General features: G+C 40.2%; 1 annotated feature.

The window, feature by feature from the left end:
- Window positions 553-1,168: an enhancer, noted in NCBI's record as "OCT4-NANOG hESC enhancer chr9:7284400-7285015 (GRCh37/hg19 assembly coordinates)". NCBI's record gives its function as "activates a minimal SCP1, AML or CMV promoter by ChIP-STARR-seq in naive H9 embryonic stem cells {active_cell/tissue: H9 hESC(naive)}" and the evidence as "EXISTENCE:reporter gene assay evidence [ECO:0000049][PMID:30033119]".

Below are 8,299 nucleotides of genomic sequence, written 5' to 3' on the forward strand. Positions count from 1 at the left end.
TAACAGTGGATGGTGTCAAGGTAGAAAGTGGTTGAGAGTGACTGTCGTTGGGTCAGTCAGCCAGCAGCTTACCATGGTGTCATTTTCATGTCTAAGTCTCCTGCAGTCCTGAAACAATGCCTTGAATAGCATTGTCATTTCAAATGATGAAATCCCTTTAATGTAATCCAATTTAGAGATGATTACATTGGCCTTGTAGATGGTGGGTTTTTAAGGGATAGGAACTAATGTGAGTGCCTATGACATAAGAGTAGGTGTTTTATAGACTTTGAATCATTTTATTCCTTAGAACAATCTCCATTTTACAGGTGAGCAATTGGGAGTTCTTGTGGATTAAGTAGTTTGAGGTTGTAGCTAATGAATTAAAAAGACCATTTTCAAACACTGTTCTTTCTAATGCCCAAACTCATGCTGTTTCTACTCTACCACCCTGACTACTGAATGATTCAAATTATCCTGATATGAAGATCAGTCTAGTAGACCGGTGTGTTCTTGATACTTCTTAGAATTTCAAAATTGAAAGTCTGACTCAATACTGTCAGTGACCTTCTATGATGAATTTTTTTTTCCATGATAGGCTGTGACATCATGAATTAGGTGTTCTGAAATGCAACTGCTTTCTAAAAAGGATGTCCACTTAAAGGATGTCCACTTAAGTGGGGGTTAAGTGGGGTATCTGGGGTGGGATTGGGTGAGAATTAGGGCTTATGTCACCCTCTGCTGCATCTGAGGGTAGAGAAAGCAGACCACCTTTGACTTTCCTTGTCCAAGAAACAGTAATTTGCGTAAGCCCTCTTTGTTATGCAAGCTGCAAGTAAATAAATACTCCTTGCATACCTGGCAGCTTCAATGGGGCTGCTAAGCCTGCAGAGCTGATTCTTGTGGAGAATTTGCCTGAATCAAGAGCCTTCAGAGTAGGAGGGGTTGAGACCCCAGCCCCTGCTTCCTGAGATTTTGTTAGGGAAACCCGTTGGGTAGGTCAACTGGCAGAAGACACACAGAGATACAAAAGGAACTCCTCCAAGGAAGCCTGAGGTGGTAAGCAGAGCTGATCAGCATGTGGCCCATTCAGGAGACCTCTGGCAATATGTCCAAAGCTGGATAATAAGAGCAAATATTAGGTTGGTACAAAAGTTATTATGGTTTTTGCTATTAAAAGTAATGGCAAAAACCACAATTACTTTTGCACCAACCTTAACTGAATGTAGAGTTGGTGCTCTAATATCCCACTACAGTATGCAAAGGCATCACTACATCACTAGGCATCACTATAGCATGCAAAGCTCTGATGGAACTGTCGGGACTGGTCCTCATCTGTGATATCCTGTGGCTGTGGGAAGTGATAGCAGAAATGGACTGAACTCTTCAGTTCTCTGCTTGCCTGGAGTTTGGTCAAGACAACTTCTCTGTGGATTGAGTGGGCTTGGGGGCTTTGGGGTGGAGTATGAGAATCCAAGAGGGAAACAGCCAGTTTGCAGCTTTGTAGGACCAATATAAGGCTCTGAAGTCACGTTTAGGAGAAGGAATCAACTTTATTTTATAGTGAGTAAGTAGGTTATATTCCAAAGGTCAGTGACATAAAATCACTGCTAAGCTGAGGCTCTGCTGAGTTATTTCTGGACCTTCAGGTGGACGTAATTAAAACCATTGCTAGATGATTTGATATTAAACTGTCAGGTTGGAACCGAGAGGCACAGAAAAATATTAACGGAGATATCTCTTTAATGAGAAGTGATTCCTGACGCAGATAGACAAGACAGAAACGAAGATTAGAGAAGAACAACCTGTGGATCATAGTGTGCCTGCACACATAGAGAAACTAGAGTGACTAAATTGATGGGAAACAAGGGATGTGAGAGCTGGGAGCATAGATTAAGGGGTCTAATGAGGCAATTTCTTTGCTTTTCAATAGGCAATATATTCATACATTCAAAATGCAAAAGGTTTGAAAGTGTATAATGAAAATAAGTGTCTCCATCCCTGTCCCCATCCACTCAGTTTCCTGCCTTAGAGGCAGCCAAGGTTATGAAGTCCTTATGTTGTTTTTTGAGAGATATTTTATGCATATATAAGAAGTATGTGTGTGGGTAGCCACAGTTTTTTAATACAACTGGTATTATAGTATATACAGTCTTCTGCACTTTGCTTTTTTTAAAAAAAACCTTGACAATATGACTCGGAGATAATTTCGTATTAGTATAGAGAGATCTTTGTTATTTCTTTCTCCTTTTTTAACACCTATTAGAATCTCATTGCTGGTTGTACCGTACTTATTTAACCAGTCCTCTCTTTATGGACATATTAGGTTGTTTCTATTATTTTGCTGTTGCAATGGTAATACAGTGATTCATCTTTTATGTACATCACATGTGTGTGTATGAAAGAGAAAGAGAGAGAGAGAGAGAGGAAGACAAAGATTCTATTGCTGGAATAAATTCCTAGACAACCACATATTCTAATATGTGAGGACTTATTTATAAAGTATTGGCCATTTGTGCTCTATAGCTACCAAACAGACCAAGAGGGCACCAGCTTTGCTTATGAGGTTCAGTTGACTCTACCATGCTCCAGTATATTGAACAATAAGAAGTGCTGGAGAGCCATGTGTGTTTCCCATTTTGCCTCTGTGAGACTTCCTAATTTTCTCTCACGGTCTTAAACATGGATAGCATTATTTTCAGATTTCAGTAAGTCATCAGCCTAAGTAGATCCCTCTGATCTTCTAAGATTGGTATATCTTATTCTCCCATAGTCTCTGCAGACAAAGAAGGTAACCGAATGTTTGGTTTTAAATGCTCCATCTCTTTCATGCAGTTGCGCTTGGTATAAGATTGTACATAGAGGCAAAGTAGAGATTTTGGTAACTAAGGGGGTTGGGCTGGCAGAGCAGATAATCAGGGCAATGAGGAGCAGAGATTGAGATTTGTTATGGTAGATCCACTTGTAGATATTTGAGAGTTGGCTGTAATTGAACTTTTATTGTTCAAAAGGAATGCAATACAACCACTGGCCTTTTAAATTTTTAATTGAGGGGATATGTTTAAAGTTTTAAATTACTAGATCTATTTTGCTTTGACTGGCCACTATATAAAACCAGACAGAGTCCATCCATAGTAGCACCTAATAGTTCTGCACCATCAATCAAAGTGTGTTTCTCCATTTTATTTCCTGCCTCTACTATTAACTTGTCATTACCAACCTGCTTGTATACTTTCACACGGTGTGTGATGGATTAAACTAGTTAGCTGGCCAGATAGATTATACAGGGTATATTAACACTTAGTGTTTTTGATGGAGCACTGCGCAAAACAAAAGCCATTCCTTACGAAAGACAATTAAGCCTGCTGCTTGCTGTGTTTTGAACTTTGTGGTTCTCTTTCTCTGAGTGGGCAGATAATAGCCATGTAATCATTTTAGTGCAGGTGCATTTAATTAGTTTCCTTCTTAAGAGGCTTCTATTAAAGCAAAATGGTCAGTCGGTTGAGTAGCTGGTTTCCTTGCATCAGGTTTTTCTCTCCCTTTCCTCCTGTGTCTATTTCTGGCAAAATGACTGAGAAACTCCTGAGACAAACTATTTCCATAAGGTCTTTGTTTCTAAGAGAGGAGCTTTTGAGATTCTGGGCAGGTAGCTCAAGAGATCTTCTCCAATTTTCAGTGTTTAGTTGACCCAAGTTCCTGATGTTTTATTTTCTGCTATTTGGAGGCCGAATCATCCCAGCCTCATGTTCAGAGAGGCCTCCCCTGGCCAGTGTCCACTGGGTACACTGTGTGCTACCCAGACACCCTGATACTCACACGGTGGGTCTGGGGCCCGGCTTGGCTCTGCCTCACCAAATAAGACAGGTGGCCTGTGGTTGGCCCCCCAACCAATCTACCCTACTGCTTAGACTCTCACCTGTGTGCACCTGCTGCTGTTGCCTGCTTAATCTGTGTAGGATGAATTTGTAAATATCCATGGAAATGCCATAAATATTCTCTAATTCTCTCAGCACTTCCACAGGAAGGACAGAGAGCATCTCTCTCTGGTTCCCTGACATCCTGTTACTGCTCCTGAGGGATTCTAATACCTCCAGTCACCTTGACCCCATGTCTTTGGTAATGTCTGGTGTCTGGGCTCAAGGCTCAGCTGTTTTCTAGTTTTCTTATTTCCCTGTTCATTCTAAACTCCTGGGGTGGCTGTTGGGGCTTGCTGGCTCATTTGGGTCTAGGAAAAACTGGGAAAGGAACAGAACAAAAGGCTGGTTTTCTGTTTCCTTATCACCCCTGTAGCATGGGGAAGCCATCCTGCTTATGGGGCTTCATGCTGTCAACCTCCTGCTGACCCTCATTGTTGGTAGGGTGCCAATTGCTTGAATGAAAGCTGACTTCAAGCAAACTCTCCTAAAGGCTGGCTTAGTCCCCATTGGCAAGCAAGATAGGGTAAAGACTGGGAGTGGGCAATGAACCCTGGGCCTTTCTTCCTGCATGCACCTTATAAGCAAGATCTGGGCTACATCTATCTCTATTCACCCATAGAATATGTAACAATACCTGGCATAAACTGCTGCTCAGCCATCACACCACATTACTGCTATTTCTGCTGATAATACTAATAAGAGTGACAACAATAACACATAATATAGGAATCAGAATGAGGCCTCTTGCCAGGATTTTAAAAATCACCAGCTGCCCTAATCCTGCCTCAGTCTCTAACATCGTCCATAACTTCCCTGAGAAGCAAAATGATAGTATCTCATACTATTGATCTTCTACCTTGTTCAGGACTTTACATACACTATTACACTATTACTAATCCCCAGCATTAACAGCCTGCCTTCACTTGTCACCAATATGTCAGGTACTCTTTTAGGTCGTATGTATCATTCAGTCCTCACCGTAATCATGTGCTCTAGGTGCTCTTATCTCCCCATCCCAGCATGTCCAAACAACCTTTTTAGATCAAAGATGTTTGATTAACAGCAGCAGCAGCAGCAGCTGTTAACATTTGTTGAATACTTACTATACACCGGGCACTGTTCAAAGCTCTTTGCTTATATTAATTCCTCTAATCATCACAAAAACTTTATGAGCTATAATGTAGGTATTATTATTCATCTTCATTTTACAGATGAGAAAAATGAGGCACACAGATAAATATTTTTGCTAACCTTAATGATAAAGCTTTCTAGCAAATGCTATAAGATAGGTATCGTTATTCCCATTTTTAGTATTAGTAACAAGAAAACCAATGATATTTTAAGAGCTGGCTGAATTTGAGCAGATTGACCTAAGAGGAAGTCAGAGTTCCTCTTTCAGAGGCAAAATTATTCTTTTGTTTAGGAAAATGCCTTCACAAGCTTGTTTGGTGTTGAAGGTATATGGGCATCACTGGAATAGAAGTTTAAACAAACACCAGGTAACTTTTCTATGGAGTAAAATAACAGGAGGTTTGGAGTGGTCCACTAGAACCTTGATATGGCAAAAGTACCTGGGAAAGAAGAAGGTAGGTACAGTAGAGAGAGAAAGAGAGAGAGAGAGGCTCAGTAACATGGTGGGAAGTTAGGGTCCCTGAAGGAATGTAGTCGGTGGTAAATTCCATGTGGACGGAATGAGCAATGAATTCCTTGGGATAGGAATGGCTGACATTCAGCGTGAAGTTGTTTTTGCATATGTTGCTCTCTGTTAACCCCAAAACTTCAATAAAAGTTTGATACTCAGAAATTAGCACTGCTGCTTTGGAGGAGTGAAGGGAGAGGACATTTATGGCTGGGGCTTTCCAAGCAGTGACCAGCAGGGAAAGGACTTAGAAACTTGGGCCAGAACTAGGAGTGAGTCCAAGTCAAGTGGCAGCAGAGAAACAAGCTGAAGTATAGACCCATTAGAGAAGTGAGTGTAATAAGAGCCCCTGCAAACTCCCTTCCCCAAATGTACCCACGGGAAGTGAACAAAATAAGGCAAAGGGGGAAAGAGGGAGCAATTAATAACTTGTGTAATCATCAATTATTTTCTAAATTTGTGCATATGTATCTTTTAGGGACTCAGCTGCAAGCAGTGGAAAGTATCGTCTCAAATGGAACTAGGCAACAAGGAAATGTATTATTTTGCATATGAAAAGGCTCAGAAGTAGGGTATTTTCAGGGTTGGTTGATTCACTGGCTCAGCCATATCATCAAGGATGCAATTTCTTTCACTTCTCTCTGCTATCTTCTGGGTTGGTTTCATTCCTAGGGTGACAGCAAGATGGCTGCAGAAACTCCAGGAGTCACATCTATATATTTCAATATACAGAAGAAATGTTTTCTATTCCAGTGAAGTATCTTTTTCAATAAAATTCCTAGAAGACTTTTTCTGTGTCTCATTGGCTAGAAACACAATCATTTCTGAACTAATCTCTTCCAAGGGGATTGGAGTTGGCCTTAGATAACCCAGGTTTATCCTCAGAGCTGGGTATGGGGTCAGCTTCTTCTGAGGCACATGGCTACGAATGGGAGAGGTAGAAACTCTGAAGATAGCCAGGATTTGGGTTGCTGGGTAGAAATTGTCAAGTGCGTACTACACAGTGGGGACAAAGGAGGAAAAAAAATGGGGAGAAATACATTTTGAGGTTTCTGACTGCATGTTTCTGTTGTTTCTAGCCCTATAAATGAAGCTGTAGCTCTCTGGCCTTACATAACTAAAAGAATCCGCTGAGGTATGGTGCTCCTACACAATGGAATACCATGCAACTGGTAAAGCAATGAAGCATAGTTCTGCATATTGGTCTAATATGATCTTCAGGATATATTTTTAAGTGATAAAATCAAGGTGCAGGGTATTGTATGTATCTGTAAAAGGAGGAAATACAAATGTAAACATAAACCATAAACTAATAAAAGTATCTCTATGCATTGTTTTGTAGAATTGACTTTAAAATCATGTAAATTGAAACAGAAAGCAATTCTTAGAAATTAAAAAAATGACGGCCGGGCGCGGTGGCTCACGCCTGTAATCCCAGCACTCTGGGAGGCCCAGGTGGGCGGATCACGAGGTCAGGAGATAGAGACCAACCTGGCTAACATAGTGAAACCCCATCTCTACTAAAAAAAAAAAAAAAATACAAAAAATTAGCTGGGGGTAGTGGCGGGCGCCTGTAGTCCCAGCTACTCGGGAGGCTGAGGCAGGAGAATGGCGTGAACTTGGGAGGCGGAGCTTGCGGTGAGCCGAGATCGCACCACTGCACTCCAGCCTGGGCGACGGAGCCAGACTCCATCTCAAAAAAAAAAAAAAAAAAAAAAAAAAAAGGAAATTAAAAAAATGACATCAACTTAATTGTGAATTATGTAGGTGGTTTAACTGTATCAAGAAGAATTATTTAGAATGACATCAAAAACTCAGTAATTTGGATTTCTCTTGTGGGATATATCTATCCTAAAGAGAAGAAGAAATGCAATGAAATTTAAATTGTTAATGTCATTAGGAACCAAGATTTTTCAACATAAGAGAAACATATACCATGGTAAAATCAAAGAAGTTAAATTAAAGCTCTGTAATTCTAAATTTGAATTGTAAATATCAGTATAAATTTTTGATATATTTTCTAATAAATATTTCCCAGCAATTTCTACTGAAAAGGCCTAGAACAGGCCATTAATAGAGCACCCAGACTGTGGTCTGTAAATACAAATACTCAGAAAATGAAACCAGAGTTTGTGGTGAAATAGTGAATTCCATGTTTGGGAGAGCAACTGTGCAAAGTAAGCCTGGAAAATCTTGTCAGATCAGAAAGCAAGGAAAACATCGAGATGGTGGAGATTGTGTTAAAAAGATTCAGAAGCTGTTTTGAAGAACTCCCACTGGTCGAAGATGGAACACTTTGAAAATCAAAAGGAATAGAACTGTGAATGGATTGATATATATATAAGATATAAATATGCATCGATTTGTAATCATATAAAAATAATTGGTCACCTTTGAAAGATCCTAGACAACGAATCCATGGTTCTGAAGAAAGGTAAATAAGAGCACAGAATCCAGTCTTTAACTTGTTGTTCCTATATGACGTGTACCTCAGAGCAAACAAATATTTGCTGAAAATTTTTCTTTATAGAAAAATCCTAGTTAATGAAAGGAGAAGGGTAGATTTAAAATTTTAACGTTTCAATTCTTTTTTTTTTTTTTGAGATGGAGTTTTGCTCTTGTCGCCCAGGCTGGAGTGCAGAGGCGTGACCTTGGCTCACTGCAACCTCCGCCTCCCAGGTTCAAGTGATTCTTCTACCTCAGCCTCCTGAGTAGCTGGGATTACAGGTGTGCGCCACCATGCCTGGCTAATTTTTGTATTTTT

Source organism: Homo sapiens, chromosome 9 (assembly GCF_000001405.40).
Source record: "Homo sapiens chromosome 9, GRCh38.p14 Primary Assembly".
Lineage (NCBI taxonomy): Eukaryota > Metazoa > Chordata > Mammalia > Primates > Hominidae > Homo > Homo sapiens.